At 38.4% G+C, this 21791-nt stretch overlaps 1 protein-coding gene across 1 annotated transcript in view; it reads left to right on the forward strand.

The window, feature by feature from the left end:
• Positions 1–19581, forward strand: part of XKR4 (XK related 4) — a 440027-nt gene extending 420446 nt beyond the window's left edge. The window contains exon 3 of the mRNA NM_052898.2: positions 808–19581. Within this exon, the coding sequence (NP_443130.1) occupies positions 808–1754 (947 nt within the window). The 3' untranslated portion in view covers positions 1755–19581. The remainder of the gene's footprint in view (positions 1–807) is intronic.
• The last annotated feature ends 2210 nt before the right edge of the window (positions 19582–21791 follow it).

Here is a 21791-nt window from a genome sequence, read left to right on the forward strand (position 1 = left end):
ACACACACCTTTTATTTTTAAGAATGCATAAACTGTCTTTTGTGAATAAACTAAATTTAATCCTGCTTACAAGCAGAAAGATAAACCAGGTAGTCCCTAATTTCTTGTGATCACATATCCCCTTCAATCATGGAATCACAAAGCTGACAGGGAGCTTTGGAGATCACACACTTTATAAATGAGGACACCCATTTTGACAATAGTCCAAGGTCATGAGGGTAGTAAGTGGCAAAGTTGAAGCAACAACCCAGTTCTGACAGCCTCCGGTCCATGGTTATTTTCCCACTTCACAAAATTACCTCCTTAGTCCATTTACACCAAATACAGAAAGTTAAACTCCATCCCATTTCCAGGTCTCACACCCATGCTGGGTTTGAGTAGCATTCCTATTAGCTTCATGACTTCTCCATATGGGTGAGCCTTAGAGAAGACAGATACGAGGATCCCCATCTGAGTTAAAACCCAAAGAAAATCCTGGCTTACATGGTGAAACCCCGTCTCTACTAAAAATATAAAAAATTAGCCAGGCATGGTAGTGGGCGCCTGTAGTCCCAGCTACTGGGGAGGCTGAGGCAGGAGAATGGCGTGAACCCAGGAGGCGGAGCTTGCAGTGAGCAGAGATGGTGCCACTGCACTCCAGTCTGGGCAACAGAGCGAGACTCTGTCTCAAAAAAAAAAAAAAAAAGAAATTAAGAGTCTTTGCTGAGGTCAAAGCCAGCCTTCCCCAAGCCCCCAGCTCTGTGTGACTTCCAGGGGGCATTGCTGCAACTGATTTCTGACACACTGTCTTCCTGTTTGCCTTTGTAGGTTTCACAGCGGCAGCTTCCCTCGTGTCCCTGGCCTGGGCCTTGGCCTCCTACCAGAAGGCCCTCCGGGACTCTCGAGATGACAAGAAGCCCATCAGCTACATGGCCGTCATCATCCAGTTCTGCTGGCACTTCTTCACCATCGCCGCCAGGGTCATCACGTTTGCCCTCTTTGCCTCGGTTTTCCAGCTGTACTTTGGGATCTTCATCGTCCTTCACTGGTGCATCATGACCTTCTGGATCGTCCACTGTGAGACAGAATTCTGTATCACCAAATGGGAAGAGATTGTGTTCGACATGGTGGTGGGGATTATCTATATCTTCAGTTGGTTCAATGTCAAGGAAGGCAGGACACGCTGCAGGCTATTCATTTACTATTTTGTGATCCTTTTGGAAAATACAGCCTTGAGTGCCCTCTGGTACCTCTACAAGGCTCCCCAGATTGCAGACGCATTTGCCATTCCAGCGCTGTGTGTGGTGTTCAGCAGCTTTTTAACTGGCGTTGTTTTTATGCTGATGTATTATGCCTTCTTTCATCCCAATGGACCCAGATTCGGGCAGTCACCAAGTTGTGCTTGTGAGGACCCAGCCGCTGCCTTCACTTTGCCCCCAGACGTGGCCACAAGCACCCTACGGTCCATCTCCAACAACCGCAGTGTTGTCAGCGACCGCGATCAGAAATTCGCAGAGCGGGATGGGTGTGTACCTGTCTTTCAAGTGAGGCCCACTGCCCCATCCACCCCATCATCTCGCCCACCACGGATTGAAGAATCAGTCATTAAAATTGACTTGTTCAGGAATAGGTACCCAGCATGGGAGAGACATGTTTTGGACCGAAGCCTCCGAAAGGCTATTTTAGCTTTTGAATGTTCCCCATCTCCTCCAAGGCTGCAGTACAAAGATGATGCCCTTATTCAGGAGCGGTTGGAGTACGAAACCACTTTATAAAGCAAAAGGAGTTGCAGGACCCACAACATCCAGATGAAGGGGTGACAGCAGGGCTGTGGCCATAATGACACTTCATCCTAGAGCAGGGCAGTGAGCCGTGAAGTTCCTAGTGGGACCGTCATCACCATTATCATTTGATCCTGTCGGCTGGGGGCGGCTGGTCTCCTTCCAAAGCAGCTGCACCCGAGAGTCTCTGACTCCACCTGAAAGAATGACGCTGGCTTAATAGGACTCTCCATTGCTACCAAACTCCTCCTGCACGGTCTTGGGTGCACCCACCAGAGGGTACTACTATTATGGAAAAATTTTGCCTCCAATCATTAGGGTGTCTTGATGGCGTTAACTGATCTTTCCATAAAAATAGATTCAGTCATACACACATACACACACTAACACACATAAGTTACACCAGTCCTCTGTCAAAAAAGCTTAGGTGACTTTTCTTGATGCAAAGCTCTGATTCCCACAGGAATATAAAAACAAAGAAAGAGGGAAACATCCCTCGAGAAAAAAAATAGTATTGCTTAGAAAAGAAACCATTTTCTCATTTGGAAATCCATACCATGTGTGAAAATCCTATCCAACGGACAGCAAACCCAAATGTTGTCTACACATGTGTTAGCATTGATGGAGTGGTTCATTTTCTACACATTTCAGGATTTGTTTTATATTTTAAATTTTCAGTTGCGAACATCCTTTTTGACAGAAATCCTATGCAGCCCATGTACGGCTTTCAACAAGACCAAGGAGCTCAATAACTTCATGATGTAAATTAAATAGTAATCATGATTCAGTATTCAATTGCAAAAATGTAACAGGTACACAAAGAGGAAGTGGGGAAAAAGGCAAAATGAGAGTCTGATTCCCAGGCATGTGCAGCGCCCATTGGGACATAACGGCAGTGCGGCGCGAGCCAGAGGAATGGGCTGGAACCGGATCTGTTTCCAGACGCAGAATGAGTGGCTCTGTGTGACCATAGGCAGATGCTGACTCTGGAAGACTCCGTGCCACTCCTTTCTAGTGCCAAACACCATCCAACCACAGGACTGACGTGGAAGCCCCAAACAACTGAGAATGAGTGGCATGAGCCCCCTAAAAGCAGGCGAGAGAACGAGCAATCAAGTTCTCCACTGTGTACAGACTTTTCCTCCCCCCAATCCAAGGTCAAAGTGATGTGTCTTTTAGAGGCTTTGGGACACTTTTTAGTAAGTATGAGCAGACAAATGCAATGAATATGCTATGAAAAAACCCTTCTGAACTGAGAGAGGGCTTATCACTATATCCAGCTAAGATTTGTATTTGAATCATCTGTAAAGTCGCACTCTTACAACAAGCTTCTGGGTTTTAAATACCTCCGTACAGCAAGTAAACGTTCCCCGCTTTCTGTTCTCAGTGTCCTCGGTCATGGTGCTTTTCGTTGCATTAAAAGTGCCGGTCAAACTTTGATAGTATTTTTTTATAGTTGGTGCAGAGTGGAATAACTCATGGATTATTTCAATATTTTTGTAATAAAAAATATAGGGTATACACATAGGCATCATCACATTTTTTATAGACCTGGAATCGTTTAAAATACTTTAAGCATCATAATTACTTGGGATGTCAGAAACTGGTCCACAAATTCCATCAGCCTGCCTCAGCAGATTGAAAACATTTGTCTCTTGCAAGATCACCCTACTTTGCAAGTTGGTGCCCCCAGGAACCTGGCCAGGGGTGCTATCAGAATATCAGGTGAAGAGAGAATCAGCTTAAATAGAAAGGGCTTGTCAAGACTGGCCAATGTTTCCCAGGAAATCAAAGATGTAAATGATTACTTTCATCCATCCATTATAACAAACCTGACCACAGTGGAAGCTGTCTTAAACTTCCTTCCCTGGTTTTATATTAACCCAACTGATAGATTAAGTATTAGTCAAACCACTAAAAAAGAAAAAGAAAAAAGTTTAACTTAATTATTCGGTTATTTGGATCTAATTCACACAAAGTAGTCCAGTTCTCTAGCCACCACCTGTAATGGGTGTGTCATCCAGAGACTGTGTCCCCACGATGACATCCACAGGAAGTAACAGAGGGCTCAACCTAGGACTTCTTTTGGTACAAAGCCCCAAATCAATTTTTTTAAAAAATAGACAATTTTTATAAGTAGACATACTTCCTAGTACTCCATGATTTGATCCTCCAAGCAAGATTTCCACTAAAAAATACTAATCTTTTGTTGGGATGTGGAAAGATTACCTAGTCACCAGTAAAGGCCCAGGAAAAGGCTCTTCTTGTCAGCACATGGTGAAAACATTCCATCCCCACTGGAGAAGGAAAAAACGATTTTGGCAAATTCTTCACTTTTGTGCAGAACCTTGAGTTATTAGCTTCATTGTTTCCAAGACAACTTTTAACTGATGATCTTTGGAAATTGAGTTTCTCAGTTGAACTGTACCTTTGATTCTATGAGTAAATCACAGATTACAGTCTAATAGAGTCAATCAATCAACACAAACCCAACAGGCCCCATCATGCTTCAATCATGTAAGTTCTAAGTTATTTCTCAACTTGATCCCTCATTCAACATGTTAAGAGTCAGAATGAATACTATGTCAATGAAAAATGATGTACTGTGCTTTGACTTGGAGGTGAGATTGGCAGTCAGGAGAATGTAAGGAGGTTGAATTTTTCAGTGATTTCCCAAATACTGTAAATACTCTGTTATCCGACATATTTGGAGATTATGATGTTTTAATTAGGCATGAATTCTTGTTAAGGAAAGAACATATCCATGATGTGATGAATTACAACCTTTCAAAAGATTACAAGAGCAAAACAAGAGATAAATCATGATTTAGCCTTGCTTCCATGATTCAGGAAGCACTACACTGCCATCAGACTGTTGTGGTAATAACAACTTTTACTTGTTTTCTAGATGCACAGATAACAGAGAGTTTAAAGTATTCAGATTTAAAGAGACATCATCAGTGTACAAAGAAACAAAGTTTCATTTTTGTATTTATATTTTAATTCTAACATTTCCTTTTCAATCTGCCATTAAACCCTCCGCAGACAGTAACTGGAGAATCCCAAAGGAAAAAATTGGAAATGCTGGGTTCCTTATCTGCAGGCTCCTTTCTGTGTCTGAGTCCACTTTGATTCCATTTAAGAGGGAGATCTGCTCTTACTCACTTTTTGCATAGGATCAGGAAATTTTCTAAAGGAACAACATTGTAATTTGTTTTACTTTTAAACTTGCATTTCTAAATATGAAACCATGTTTAATGAATATATATAATGTGTGTGTGTGTATCTTAACCATAGTGACACTTTAAGTGTTTGTGTGAAAGAAAAGGAAATAATTTTTCCATGTAAGTCAAAGTTTAGTCTCCCAAAATGACTATGTCCTTTAAATCCTCTTTGCTTATTTACTTAACTACATACTGTCTAGTTCAATAGCACTGACTTTGCAGACACTTAGTTACTACTCATTTGTGATAAACGCTGTTAACCCAACAAATATAATAAATTCTCTTACTGACATGGCAAGAATATATAATTCAAGTATTAGCAAAAGATAATCTGAGGATAAAAGTAAAATGAAGTATTTTATGGTTAATTTCTAAATGCCCAATTTATTTTGCTCTATGAGTAAAGGAAGTGATTGCACAGAACAATTAAAAGTGAATGAGAATAGTTGAAAACTCAATGGCTGTTTTTTAAAAATGATATGTGCCTTTTAAGTGTGTTTGTGTACATACATATATGTATATATACGTACCTATATATGTATGTACACACACACACACACACACTTTCCAACTAAAGTAACAGAGATGAAAAGGATAAAGTATATACTGCTTTTGAATGTATATAAAGTGGTATGTTATGCATATAAATTGTACATAAACTTTTTAGAAAAGAAGCATTTTCCTGCTCCTTTTTCAAAACCAACCCAAGCTTACAGTCCATCTATAAGACCAACACACTTACGAACTTCAGTTGGAAATACCTAAATATAATTCAGCACTTCTTAGCTCGAATGAGTTTTATCACTTCTTAAGGATCTCATCTTTTAAACAGCTGAATAAAATAGTTCTGTGTCACTTCAAAGTTTCTTTCTCTGAACAGATTGAATTGAGCAAAGAGAACCTCTTCTGTCCTTACCAGGATTGTGTAAGGTTACACATTTGCTTTTAAATATACCAAATGCCGTTGATTGGAAACAAGTTCTGACACAATGTTTAGACAAGAATCCAGAGATTTTTTCTAATGAACCATTTTCTAGACTAAATATATGCTCCCTTGCATTTTCCACATATCTTTGCCATTAGCCATTGCTGTTTCTATATAAAGCTTGGATGAGATGCCTGCATTTTTATGTGCTAAGGAGAATTCCTTAAAGCCTTTTTAAAAATAGCTCATACTGTCATTCAGATTATAGCTCAGAGGATGGTTGAAGCGCATGGTGAAAACACAGGAGGACTGGGGTGGTCATTCCTATAATTTCAGTGACAGATGCAGATCAACGTTCCTTTGTCTCGGCAATCCAATGTCATTTTTGAAAACAATCAAAAAGATCGCTTGTGTCAGCTTCTGACTCATAACACTCCTCCCACCTGATGCTCCAGTGTTTCAAAATGGCCAAGGATGGGCGATTCCGCTCTATCCCCCATTTCTGAGACTCTTGTCTGGACCTGTAACAGGCCGTGAAATGCCCTGAGCATTCGAGTGGCATCCCTTCTCCTCACATAGGCACCTGGGTGGCAGCATCAGACCACTGAAGTTGTTGTGTTGACATATGTCTTATCTAGTTGCTGTCCTAAAAATGGGCATGTGGCAAGACTCTCAATCTACAGCCTCGACAGTATCATTACTCATTCTAAAGTAAAACTGCAGAATATGGGTGGAATTGTATAAAAACATAATGAGCCATTTAATTTTGCTAATTGAAGCAATTAGTCTAACATGCAAGCAGCCTGCTCTCACAGCAGAGAGCCACATGGAAGAAGTGCCAAATAGCCATTTGCATTTATATATATATATTGCAGGCAGTGACCTGGCCCCCAAATGTAAAGCTTTTGTCAACCTTGAGGCCTATATTCTGCTAAACAAGAGATGACTTAATGTCCTTGAAATATTTTCGTAATATACTGACAGCCTAATGTCAGAAACGAGCTGCCTAAATCAAGTTTTGCTTTTGGTTATTTCACTTCCCCATAGACTTTCTTATGGTTCCATCTCCCACATTGAGAGTAGCTCACCACGATGGATGGTTTACTGCGCACCTAGTGCTGGACTAAGAGCTGTATCTATGTGGTTTCATTTAGTCCTCACTGCCATCTGTGAGTTAAGCATCATTTACAGATGACAAAATCTGTAAATGGCTTAGAGATGTCAAGCAATTTGCCCAAAGGTCCCACAGCTAGGAAACAGTGGGGCTGAGGGTTGAGCACAGCTTTCAACAACTGCGACTTCTGGGAGCCCAGTGACTCTTCCCACAAAATCTAGTCCTGATTTGGCAAGTCTTCAGAAGAAACAGAATCATGGTCTGATGATCAAATTTTTCCAAGAAAATTTTATTTAAAAGTCAAAGATGTCCTTCAAAATGAACAGTTAAAAATGTAAAAGTCGATGTAAAATGGAAGTCTCTATCACCTGTAACTAAATTTTACCTTAACTCTAACTCATAGTAGGCAGATAAATGCTATTCTTCCATTCCAGGCAACTGTCCCCCTCCTATGGCTCCACTATGTATTCAATTAAGTGATAAATATAAATTAACCTGATGCCATGTCTCTTGTATTTTATATGTGTATGCTGTTTTCATCCAATTAAGCAGACTGAAAAAAAACTAAACCCCATTACTTACTTTGGCATTTTGACAAGATAGAGAGAGAGGAAAAGAAAGAGGGAGGGAGAGAGGGAGGGAAGGAAGAAGGAAGGAAGGAAGGAAGGAAGGAAGGAAGGAAGGAAGGAAGGAAGGAAGGAAGGAAGGAAGGAGATTTAACAAGTCTTTGAAGTGATATTTTCAAATTATAAGGTAATTCTGTTTCACTGCCATAATTTTTCCCTAAATTTTATTTAATATCTTGCAGGTCACAAACTTTAATATTTAAGAGGATTATTAAACCACTAGCTTGAACAATCATATAAGTCTAGGAACCTTATTTTAGTGTTAGATGCCAATAATACTGCAAGTGTCAACCAAATATTTGTTGAATTGAATTATAAAATAATTGATGTGTTCTTTCCCTTCTCACTTTAGATATAGCATGTCTGAAGGTCTGCAAGATGACAGAGTTGTAACCCATTCAATGATATTGTTGCCTAGTAAGCTGTGTGTGTGTTGTTTGAACTGATACTAAAAAGGTAGCTGATAATAAACCAAAAATTTTCTCAACCCTGGTGTTTATTTTTAAAAAATCTTCAATGATCAATATGAATGTAGTGTATTAAAATACAAGTAACTATCTTCCTACTTTGATTTAAGAGATCTTTATGAATTTATATAAAATTAGAAGTCACTGATTTTTATAGGAAATAGCATGTAAAATAAATCTAAGTATTGCTTTATCACTTTATTTTATAGATGAGACAACTGAGATCCAAAAAGAACAGGTAATTTTTGTGATCAGGATTACACAATACACTTTTTTTTTTCCCTGAGTCATTTATTCAACAAGTTTGACCTCTACAACTCATTTGGCTAGGCAATGCACAGTCAAGCACAAAAGGAAAGTTGCACTGGAATAGCTCATAGTCTGGCTATTAGCAGCACAATCATAGTTTTCTGACGCCAGCTCTTACTCTTTTCTACTCTACCACACTGTTTCTTCTCTTCTCAATATCTATATTTAATTCCATATTGAAGCAAGAAAGAAACACAGCTTTTCTAAGACTATGCAGTCATGTGTCACTTAAGGATGGGGATATGTTCTGAGATATGCATCGTCAGGCAATTTTGTCATTGTGTGATGGAGTGTGCTTACACAAGCTTAGATGGTAGAGCCTACCATGCTCCTAGGCTATATGGTAGAGCCTATTGTCCCTAGGCTACAAACCTGTACAGCATGCTACTGTACCGAATACTGTAGGCAACTGTAACACCATGGTAAGTACTTGTGTATTTAAATATAGAAAAGTTAACAGTAAAAAATATAGTATTATTGTCTTATGGGATCGCTGTCATATGTGCAGTCTATTATTGACCAAAATGCCATTGTGTGGCATGTGAGCCTTACAATATACAATTAACATATGAAATAATGATGATGAACATAAAGTAACAATACAAATACAAAAAAAAAACTAGATGACTGCTTATAAAGAGAAAAGTAATTTTATAATTTGTTTATATGACTCTCCAACACTAGATATTTTTAAATTGATATCACAACACACAAAAAAATTGAAATACTCTCTTGGTGCATAGTATTTGATTGAAAACAATCATTTTTGGATAAACTTTGAAGCGATTCTTGAGAACTTATTTCAAGAAAAGGCATGAAATTAGGGAGACTCCAAAGTGAAGAGTTTTCCAATAGGTGACTTCTCTGATTTTTCAAGAAAGCATTCTTCACTAACTGTATTTCTCCAGCATACTGGTTATTTAGGAATAACAAATTTCTGGACATAAACATGAGCTGTTTCTCTAAAGCCTTTCCTCCAATGCCCAGAAGAGCAGCACTGTGCTGCGTGACAATTTCAGGAGTCAGGAGTCAGGAGTCAGGACAGTCAGCCCCAGCTTCCTGGGGAAACCCACACTGGCTTTGGACCCGATTGCATTCTCTCCTGAGTGATTGGCTTCCCACATATATAAGCAGCAGATTGTTAAAGATCACTATTAACTTGTATAACTAATTTTCCTTATGTGAAATAATTCTGGTCAGGGAATATATAAACCCATTGGCCCTCTAAGGAGTAGAAGAAAAGAGAGAAGAAAGTATATTAACTTTTATGAGTACAGAATAATTCAAGTTCCTTAGCGAGTCACATTATGCATTAATAAAAGAGTTGACCTAATAAATGTTACAAGGTACCATGATCTCTAGGTTCATGCCACCATTACCACATTCCTTACTACAATTATTGCTATTTTAGTCATTGGACCAGACAAAATGAAGCATATAATTACTGATATAATATTTGCTAAGCAAAAATCTTGTTTAACGAAAAAAATCAATACCAAAACTAATTAATCAAAATATTAAGCAAATATTACCAGCACAGTACTGACACAAAATTTTCTCTTGTGCTAGTAATTGAAGTATGTCATCTACCCTGTTATTAGAATTTCAGAAAATAGGCCGGGCGCAGTGGCTCACGCCTGTAATCCCAACACTTTGGGAGGCTGAGGCGGGCGGATCACAAGGTCAGGAGATCGAGACCATCCTGGCTAACACAGTGAAACCCCCATCTCTACTAAAACTACAAAAAAATTAGCCAGGCATGGTGGCGGGCGCCTGTGGTCCCAGCTACTCGGGAGGCTGAGGCAGGAGAATGGCATGAACCCAGGAGGCAGAGCTTGCAGTGAGCCAAGATCGTGCCACTGCACTCCAGCCTGGGTGACAGAGCAAGACTCCGTCTCAAAAAAAAAAAAAAAAAAAAAAAAGAATTTCAGAAAATATAAAGTTTTATGTTTTTATTATATTTCCATCTACCAAATTGTTGACCTTCTCCTCCTCTCCATTGCTTAATTTATATTAAAACAGATTTAATCAAATTATTACTTAAGTACTACAAATGTTATCAGATGGAGATGTGGTTAAGCTAATTTAATTTACCTATTCTAGTGGCATTCTGGTATGGAGCTGTATCAAATCAACACTTTTAATTATTTCACATTAATTCATCAAGAAGTTCCAAAACACTACTAAATGTGTTGAAAATATAGTTTGAGTTTCTATGATTGTAATCAAAATTCCTATTTTGATCGCACACCAGTAGAACGCATCTTAACACCAGCATTGCCATTGTGAGTCTAGAAAATGAGCACTTTGTGTGTTGAGCGCTGTTGCATTCACTTAGCAATTAACCTTTGACCTGTGGTTTTCTGCTGAGCCCCTTGTGATTTTTTTTATTCTATTCAAATTGGGAGCAATAACACACCTTAACATAACCAAAAAAAGGAGACCTGTCAGCTAGTGAAAGAATTGTCATTTTATATCATTCTTTCAAAAAATTAAAATATTCAACTTCCCTTATTAACCTTTCTAATGCATTGTACATAAAAGAGGAAATGGATTTCTGAAATATATTTTGAAAGCCTGGGGTGAAACATTTTCCACGGTCTGAATCGGAAGCTTGGGGCTCTGTGGAAAGATGTAAATCCCTCCTGCTGTAAGAGGAGGGAAGGCAGCAGTGAGCTGTCACTCAGAAATACAGTCACCACTGTCACAAAGCTGCCTATTGCTGATGCTATCGATTCCCTTCTTTTTCTACAGAAACATCTTGGAGCTTGTCAAGCTTTACTGGAGGTGATTTGCAGTTAATTAATTCAACAGACACTTTAATCTTGCAAATTCTTGACTTGTAATATTGTAACCAAGCTCCTGCAAGGGAACATTAATCAGTTAGTGAAAAAGGAGCACTTCCGTTCAGCCGTAGTACCATGACGTGCACAGGCCTGAAGAGAAATACCTCTGTGAAGTGGAGCGCTAGTGAATTCCTGCTACCTGCTTCTTATGGCTCACGCTATGAATATTCACCTGCTTCATTTGTTTTTTCCAGTAAACGCTGTTTTGAAAAAAAAGAAAAATATTCCCGGGGGCTTGCATAGCTCAGAGAACGGAGTACTGGGTCGTGGAGACTTGCTTTAAATGGATTCAAATCCACATGTTTGGAAATGAAAATAATGCACTGTCATCTGTTGAATAATTGATCTGTCTGAGTACAGTTGCTGCTTTTATTTCATTTCTTGAGACTACCATTGTCAGCATTGTAATAACCAATTTATAAAAATTGAGTTTTTATTCAGTTTCAGAGGTAAAATCTGCATGGGTGCAGCTACTGAATAATTTGATTCCTGCCTTCTTAGGTGGTGACATTAGCAGTTCCAAACCGAGATCCATTTCTATGTGGAATTGGCTATCCTGTTGCTTCTCAGGCCCTGCAAAACCTTGGTTACGAGCTCAAAGATCACGAATCTGATATTCTTTTTTTTTTTTTTTTTTTTTTTTTTTTGAGACAGAGTCTCGCTCTGTCGCAGGGGCTGGAGTGCAGTGGCACAATCTCGGCTCACTGCAAGCTCTGCCTCCCAGGTTCACACCATCCTTCTGCCTCAGCCTTCTGAGTAGGTGGGACTACAGGCGCCTGTCACCACGCCCGGCTAATTTTTTTGTATTTTTTAGTAGAGATGGGGTTTCACCGTGTTAGCCAGAATGGTCTCGATCTCCTGACCTCGTGATCTGCCCTCCTTGGCCTCCCAAAGTGCTGGGATTACAGGCGTGAGCCACCACACCCGGCCCCGATATTCTTAATGACTAAATTTTCACATAGAGGTAAACAGATCATCTCTTAATTTAATACATGGTTCTTTCTCCCTTGCTTCTGGGTTTTGTTTTTTTTTTTTCAAAGAAAGATTTGAGCTACGAGATAAGAATGAAGTTACCAGAAGTTATCAGGTCATAGTTTCAGAGTATGCAAGAGAGTCGGGCCTTCATATGTTCTTGTAAAGTTTTCTGTCTAATCTTTTGGTATAACAATTTTAGGAGTTCACCCTAGATGAAAGAGTGGAAGTCATCAGATTTGTCAATAAGCAGTCTAGAGGAAAAATGAGAAGAGGAAGAAGCAGGGATTCTTTTTCTTGTGTTTTGAAGATGTTTCTCCTCCCAAAGCTATCACCTTGGTAGTTATCACCAAGATGTATAATAGCAAGCACTACTGAATGATCTTCCCAGTTATCAGCACTAGCATCACGGCGAGTCAGTTTTCAGAACTAGCTCTTGGCGCAAGCCCTGAAATAAAATGGGGACAAAAAGTGGTCTACCACCATGTGACTTATTTTCTTTTTTTTTTTAATTTTATTATTATTATACTTTAAGTTTTAGGGTACATGTGCACAACGTGCAGGTTTGTTACATATGTATACATGTGCCATGTTGGTGTGCTGTACCTATTAACTCGTCATTTAGCATCAGGTATATCTCCTAATGCTATCCCTCCCCCCTCCCCCCACCCCACAACACTCCCCGGTGTGTGATGTTCCCCTTCCTGTGCACGTGACTTATTTTCAATTGCCCAGCAATGAAAACTAACAAGTTAAAGAAAATGTTCATTTTCTGAACCCCAGAGCCCACATAGGTACAAAGATACTCTGTAATGTACAATGAGGTGGCCAATCGTGGGAATATAGGAGCAATAAATAGTCCTCTTAAGCAAGGTTCATGGGTAAGAGTTACTCTAGCAGGATTGGGTGTTGGGTCAGAGGGTATCTATTAATGTAGAGGCCCAAGTATGGTGATGAAGAGAAAACCTGTCAGTGGCTCATCCATAGTATTTGCCTTTTCACAGAGCAGAGAAGTTCAAAATAGTCACAGCCAGTCCATAACTATAACAACAGACATGTCCACTTTGGAAAGGCTAGGGCCTGACGAAAGTGGGAAAACAGAGATGTCAGTGGTGTCATGTCTAAGAGTGACTCTGTCATTAGGGGAACCCACCCCCTGTGATAGTTCTCCTTGACCACTGGTCCCTATGGGCTCTGCAGGAGAGCTTCTCGTGGGTTCTAAGATAAGGTATTCCAAGGTATTGTAAGTTACCCTTGTTTGTAGAACATGAACCACTTAACCATCCCTCCTTTTAACAGCAATGAGATTCAGGGTTACCATGGCCTTACTCATCTTCCCATTGTAAATATATCACAATGTCACAAGAGCCTCTGTGTCCAAACACACTAAACTGGGTTTACAAGCATTAGAATCTTTCACTCATATTGTGAATCTCAATTCTGCCAGTCACCTAGTCTGTGTATCTGTTCCCAAACTGGAAAAAATAATTCTTGAGAGAATAATTTTCAGAATAATGGAGGTGGAAAGAAATGAACAGTTAAGCAATTTTTCAACATAGACAAAACCACTGGACCATTGATAGCCCTCAAGCTCTGATTCTTCCTCCTGACTAAGTTTCTTTTCTTTGGGGGGCTTTCAACATCTGAATTTTCCAGATGATTGCGGAACCATCGTCACTAAACCAAAGTAGACAAGGAGTTATTAAAAAATAAAGACTGTCCACATGACTGCAAATATCCTGATGAAAAGTGGCCAAGTAGATCACTCAAGTGGTAAATTTGGTCTTCATGATATCAAACATACGGATATTTGGAAAAGTCGAGATGTTTGAATCATACAGTTTTCCGTCTGGGTGTCTGGTGTTTCTGGATAGACAGACTGCTCCGGTGTTGTAAGTAATGGAATTGAACTTTCTTGCGCCGTAAGCAATTGCTGGTCATATTCTGCTGCTAAAAGTCTCTTTGTTGTGCCAAGAGAAATAATGCAGAACAAATGTTATTTAATTTTTATTTACTTTCAGCAAACACATGAATGAAAGAGGTCAGGTAGGCTGTCCTGGGCATTCTGGGCCTGGCTGCGGCACACCCTCCTTCACTTGGCCCCTGCCAGGCAAGAAACTTTCTATTCAGTCTTTGCTATCTTTCATAAATTGTATCATTGCTCTTCTGCTGTTCATATCATCTTAGTTATTCACAAAGTCTACTTGATAAAATGGCTCAAGGGAAATACAAGTTTCTTAAGTTTTTATTCTTCAAATAGAAGTTTTAATTTTAAGCATTCCTTATGATATTTTTTAAGCCTAAAAACCATTCAAATTGCTTGACAAAATTATTTCATGGTGAATTTTATAAGGTTGATAGAAGTAAAAGCTATTTTTCCCAAAACAAACAAAATACCATACATAGTTTTTTGGGTTTGGTTTGTTGATGTCATGCCAATTTCCAAGCACCAACTGGTTACCACAAACATGGGAATATTTAGTGATATCTTTGTAGTCATCGTTAAAATTCCTGGGAAAAAAAGAAAAAGTTTACGTCAAAGGAAAATTCACCTCCCACAAGGAAAGTCTGAGATGTTCATCCTGACATTTGCGTTCCTGATTATTTGTGGACATTTCTTCATTGTGACTGTAGGAAGCTGAGCTTGTTTCTCCTAATTTGACACTGGGTTGGTGAGCATTGTCTCAAATTTTGTGCTTGCCTCATTTATGGTCCTGAAGCTTAGCAGAAAAACAGACAAGCTATTCAGACCAGTTTTCTTTAAGAGCACTTATGTTGCAGAACATGATACAAATGATTCACCGTGAGCAGGCACACAGAGTACGGAAAGGTATTCAACTATGCAAAGATATTGAGGGGATTTCCAGAGAAAACTTAAATGTTTTGAAGATTTGTAGGTAGGGTTTTGATTGTGTCACATTCTACACTCAGTGCCAAGTTAGAATGTCTTTATGGGGAAGGCAATAAAGTTACTTGTTGGGTCCTTCCTTCCCTTACAAACAGAATGTTTTTATGAAATCAAATGGATCCTCCACTTTGTGTAGTAAGGACCCCCCAGGCCCCACAACATCATCACTGTGAGTCCTATCGCAGATGTGTGTACCAGCCCAATTCAGTTTTGCTTTTCTTTTTCCCTAAGATTTTTACTTCACCAAATCCCATTTCAAATCTTTTTACCTTCATGTTACCAACAGGATGTTTAGTTGAATCAGCAACAAAGACGTGACAACCTATTGTCCTCCACAAAAGCATGAGTCATTTTATTCAGTGATCTTTGGTAGTACGATAATCAATGGAATTTATGGTGTCGTAGAAAACCAAAAATCCATGTTGAATATAGTGACTGTCTTAAATATACTTAAATATGTTATTCTACAAAACAATATCCTTTTACACTATGGGATGGATTCCTTTCTGGATGCAGGGATGGGAGGGTCTATGGGTCAGTGACTGGGACAAAGGAACTGGGAATCTCTGCACAACTGAGCCCTAATCCCTGGTCCATCTCTCCAGCCTCAGAAACTCACCCTCAGCCTCATTTTCCCCATATGCAAAAGAGAGATATTTATTTACCTACCTCATAGGGGTGTTGTGGAGATTAGCTAGATTTGCTAAAGTGCTTGTAGGTTAGAAAGTGCTGTCATTCCTGAGAACTGGCATTAACAGAAGAGAGCTGTGTGCAGCACGGAGGAAGTGGAGTCTGAGGAATACAACAGCAACAACTCACCAAGCAGAGAATACAATGGTTCTTCATCACTATATAAAACTAACACTTTTCCTTCAAAGGTCTATGTATAATTTTCTTCAATGATTAGCTTTTTAATGAGACAACTCCTTTCATCCAGACATTCAGATGCTTTATATAAGTTGGCAATTTTCCTGTTAACCAAACTGAATTTTATTAAATGTTTATTAAAATGCACCCAGAAAACTTGTCTCCTCCTGATGCCTGAGGGGTTTGCATGCCTGATCCCAAGCTGCATTTTTTCAGAATGCGTGCATGATGCCCCAGTTCTGTACTCATGATCACCAGGTGGCGTTCTGAAATCCACTACTGGGGAAAGATTTTTAACAGATATTAGTGAGATTAGAGTTGGTGTCATTTCCATTGAGTATCCTCTTCACCCCTAAGATGACACATCTTTACAACACAATAAAAGAACGTAAAGCCTTATTTCCACCTGTAACTCCTGAATTGATTCATTTTCACGTTATAACTACATTTCAAATATTTCGGAGAAGTTTTTACACAGGGCTTCAGCTATATACTGATATACATATGCTTACATGTGCTTAGGTGGGAATTCTACTAAAGGATAAAGGACACAGTGTGAAAACAACATCAGAGAATATCCTGTACAACTTCCCCAAAAGTGACAAGTTTTCTTGTACTTAAAAATTTAATCCTGATAAGAACTAATGTGAAATAACATCATTTTGGTTTATAAATATTTGTAATTTTTGAGACATAGAGGCAATATCATGATATAGGAATACATTCATAAAACTAGACTAGCAAAGCAGATAATGTTTTCATGATATGGCTTCATGAGGCAAAGTTGTTGTACATCAATATTATCATTGTGCCCTTATTTAAGGATTATATTCCATTGTGAAAAAAATGTGCACACTCTTAAAAACACAAAATGGGTTTCAGAAAGTTTACCTTGAGAAGTGGGTTTGAAATCATCTTGTGCTTGGAGCTGACATAAGATACGCACTCAATATAATCTCTTCTGGATTCTAAAATCTAATTGGCAGTGATATTTCAAAGCCTTAACATTTCAAGGTGGTTAATTAATATCTAATGCATGGTATTAAACTTTCTGAAGCATGAATTTAACCTAGGCAATTATCTGATTCATTTTTTTTAAAGTTTGTGCTGCCAAACCAGACTGAAGTATTGTTTTTCTGGACTAATACTATGAGAATAGTAAGTGAGTCAAAAAATAATTGGGACTGTCCTTTTTCCCCTGCCCACTTCCTAGTATCAATACTCCCCCAACCAGAAATGCAGCAGAATATCCTTTTTGCTATAAAGGAAAATACTGTGTTTTTATTTGTTTTTGCAGAAGAAAACTGGTGTTGCCTATTTGGACTAGATGTAGGGGCCTGGAAGAAGGAAGTGGCAGATTCACAGGTGGGGTGACCAGGATGGGAGGAAAATAGTGGGGCGAGTATGTCATGGGGAGATTTTGCCACAAAGATACAAAACAGAATTGAAGTGTGTTAGAGCTGGACAACCCTTTGAAATGACAGAGTCTAGATTCTTCACCAAACAGATGAAAAGACAAGTAGAGACAACATGTACTTGAGATATAAGCTATACATCTCATCACTGGAAGAAAGGAGACTTCAGCCTCTTTTCAAGGCTTTCCAGACCACATGGAACTCTCCAGAGCCCTCCTTGAAAGTTTTTAGAAAAACTACCATTTTCAGCAAAGATTCATGTGATTATGCTGCTGAGGACCAGTCATTCTGTAAACATCACATATGTGATGCTTTGTAAATGTATTAATTGTGGTCAATTTTCATGGATATTTCCCATTAACATTGTATTCCATGAACAAGTGATAGAAAACATATGGAAATTCTCTTTTGATCAAAAGGAGTGTCTCCCAATTAGTTTACGTGTGTTAGTATTGCTGACATATTATTATCATCACAAAATTCCTTTTATATCTAGATGGTATCAAATAAGAAAAAAATGCATCATTTGGTCAATTGCTTATTGAAGATCCCAGCTGAAGCCTTTCTTTGGTAAAGAGCGCAGAAAGAGACCATAGCTATTCTTGGATGAGAACCTTGCCTCTACTAAATAGTTTCTGCTTTTCCTCTCTGTAGCCAGACAGCTCAATAGCCTAGGGAGAGTCGATGAAGGATATGCAAATTACATTTTTCCCATTCTCAGAACAAAGACAGCAACCAATGAGCCAGAGGTTTCTTCTCTCTTTGAAACCAAATAGCACGCTGAATTTAGGGCTATGACAAAAATGTTGTTAAAGCAAGAGCAAAATCATCCTTCCTATGGATTCTTTTCTCAGTGTTTACTTAATTCTTTTTGCAGTTTGGATTGGAGTTTCTAGTAATGATAATTAATGCCATTTTACATGATAGCTTCAATGCAGAAATGGTGTGAGCCTGAGTTACAAATGACATGACTAGGGATACAAACTTCGTCTGTACTAACATCCTACCAAGCAGATTGGAAACAAATACTACTACCACTAATATTCTGATGTAATTAATAACATCTAATAGAAAAATAGAAACATCGTGCTTAGCATGAAACCATTGCACAATATAAACCTGCTCCCAAATGGCAAGGATTTTTGCTACCAATATTTGTTCTTAATTCTCCAGTTATTTTAAGTAAATAAGTTTCACATCTAACTACCTCAGCTACTGTTGTTTTATTTAGAAACATGAAACCATGCACTTTGTAATCAATAAGTCTTTTGTTTAACATTTCAAAAGGATATTTGGTGCAAAGCAATTTTCAAAAATTTGTACATGATATACACCACCCAACCTCAGGAGGTTGTACTTAATTTTGTTTGTTTGTTTCTAAGGTTGGTTTTGGGTAAAATCCTCATTTCCACTCAACATCAAGATAAGCTGCTCTATATTTGCTTAATTTGCCTTAAACATTTTGTGCTCCTTTCCCTGTTCAATTTTTTTGTTTTGTTTTAAATCTATCTCTGAAAAAAAAATGGAACAGGTGGCAGGTGAACAGCAAATGGAAGAGAATGGACCAGTAATTTCTCAGTCCCCTGTTGTCAACTATCTGCATGACATTCTGATTGTGCAAAAATGCCATTCCTGTGCTTCCCCCTCCATTACAGAATAAGGTCCGAGAGACCCCACGAGTGTGCGTAGGGAACGGTGTAGACATTTCCCCCAGTATGAGCACAGTGCCTGGACCTGAATGATCATCTTGGCAGTTCTTGTGCTTTTACTTTGTAAACATTGTACAAATGTATTTGGAATTTTATTTGAAATGGAGACTTAAACTAGTTATTAAATTTGTTTCCTTCCTGTAAATATATATATTCAAATTCCATGTATCCAAACATCCCTTTAGCGTTCAGATTGTAAGTGTGTCTTTATTCGCGGGAGGCCACTGTCAGCAGGCAGTGACCCCCAGTGCCCTAGTTTGAAGCACAGTGTGTGGAGTATTTGATGTACTACAGTACCATAGTTATTTTGGTCTGTTAAGTAAGTTGCAATTTGTGATGAAATGAAGTGGAAAGTAGTACTTCATAATGAACAAATTTCCTTGGTTACATGGTTTTTCTTGTAAAACTTAAAGAAAAAAAAAGAAAACTTGAAATTTTATATATTTGGATTTTGTAGTTTTTTTTTTTTATTTAATGCAACACAAGGTACCAAAATCATTAAATAAAGTACACTGTGGTCATTTTAACAGAAGTCTGTGTTCCTGATTCTGTCTAAGTCTAGGAAGAGGGCAGGACACCATAGGTGTTGGATGGGAAGGGAAAGGAGGCGGCCATGTACACAGGCATGTTCCCAAGGCAACACGATGTAAGTCTGAAATAAGCAAAGCTGAGTTCTGTCAAATTTAAAATACATTAAAAATTAAGTTATATCTCTTTTTAGTAGATGTTTTATTTATTTATTTTATTTCTGAGAAGTCCTAAAGGGTATTCCTCTAGAGCTACTATAAAAGCAAAGAGATTTTCAGATCACAAAGGAGCTTAAAAATCCAAATAAATTGTTCAATTATTAATGAACAGAAAAAGTGTCAATGGACAAAAGTACTTTTTTTTTTTTTTTTTTGAGACAGGGTCTTGTTCTGTCACGCAGTCTGGAGTACAGTGGCACCACCATAACTTGCTACAGCCACAAACTCCTGGGCTCAAGTGATCCTCCCACCTCAGCCTCTTGAGCAGCTGGGACTACAGGTACACACCACCACATCTGGCTAACTTTTTATTTTTGTAGGCACAGGGACTTGTTATGTTGCCAGGGCTGATCTCAAACTCCTGGCCTCAAGAGATTCTCCCACTCTGGCCTTCAAATGTGCTGGGATTACAGGCGTGAGCCACTGCACCTGGCTCAAAAGTACTTTTTAAAAAGATTATGTGTCTAAATGTTTGCCTTTTCTAAAAATCAGTGCTATATGTTATGTAATTGTTTTTCTTAAAATATTATATTTTCATTTTAAAGAGTTTTTCTATTTTCTATGCAGTTGGTAAGCATTCTACTGGTTTATAAAAGCCTTCTTTCATAAAATGTTAAATAATAACTGTACCATAAGAACTGACTATATATGTAGAGACTTCTATGGATAACAACTATTAATAGAAACAGATAAGGAAATGATCAGAAGAAACAAAGAAATGAAAAAAAGTCAATCATTCACTCATTATTTTTTACAGTCAATTATTAAGGTCTCCTTTTTTCCTGATTATAATAGTAACACGTTAAATGCACAAACACTAGAAACTCACCATTGCAATGCACTTCTAGTCTTTTTTGAAAGCATTTGTATTTTTATTCTATTAATTTAATTAACTTTTTTAAAAATCACAGCTATGTGCCATGCATGGTATTAGTATTGTAAATATGAATAAAACACATTTTCTTCTTAAAGTATACAGTCTAGTGCGGAAGCAGTTCAGATACACTAATTATGGTGTTATTTGGTGATGCAAAAGTAGAGACATTCATAGATTATGATGAGCGCATCTGACATAGTCTGCAAGGGGTCAGGGTGGAAGAGGGAGCCACACCAAGAAAGGAGCCTGGCCCCAAACCAGAGGATGGAGCAGAGTCCCCACCCCACCCTCACTGAACCAAAATGGACATGAACAAAATATAAACTTCTACTGGGTTGAGCCACTGATGTTTGGGGTTGTTTGTTATAGCAGTTAGGCTTTTATAACTTTTACAGAGCACTCCATGGACCAGAGAAATATAAAGAACTCAAATTGGAATATGATTAGCTCAATTCTCTCTACCTGAGGTCCAAAAACAAAAAGAAAAAAGAAATGGCTATGCATTTTTCATGTTCTCTACAGTGAGTAGATATTGTGATTGTAATCTGAAAACAAATAAAATTTATGTTTAAGGGTAATTTTAAAAAAAAAAAGCATACCAAAATCCTGAATTTGAAAACTTAATTTAGTAAGGAATGCAATTTGCCCCTAATAAATCTAGAAACATGATAAAGTTCCAAGCAAATCCACAAAGGTCTTTTATAAAGCTTTGCAGAATGGTTTTAAACTTTATATGGGACCAGGCACAGTGGACCATGCCAGTAATTCCAGCATTTTGAAAGGCCAAAGAGAGAGAATCTCTTGAGGCCAGGAGTTTAAGACCAGCCTGGGCATCATAATGATACCCTGACACTACAAAATAAAAAATTTTTTTAAAACTTAGCCAGGCATGGTGGCATGCCCTCTAGTCCCAGCTACTCAGAAGGCTGAGGTGAGAGATCACTGAGGCTCAGGAGATCAAGGCTACAGTGATCTGTTATGGTGCCACTGCATTCCAGCCTAGGTGACAAAGAGAGAGACCACTTG

Source organism: Homo sapiens, chromosome 8 (assembly GCF_000001405.40).
Source record: "Homo sapiens chromosome 8, GRCh38.p14 Primary Assembly".
Taxonomy (NCBI): Eukaryota; Metazoa; Chordata; class Mammalia; order Primates; family Hominidae; genus Homo; species Homo sapiens.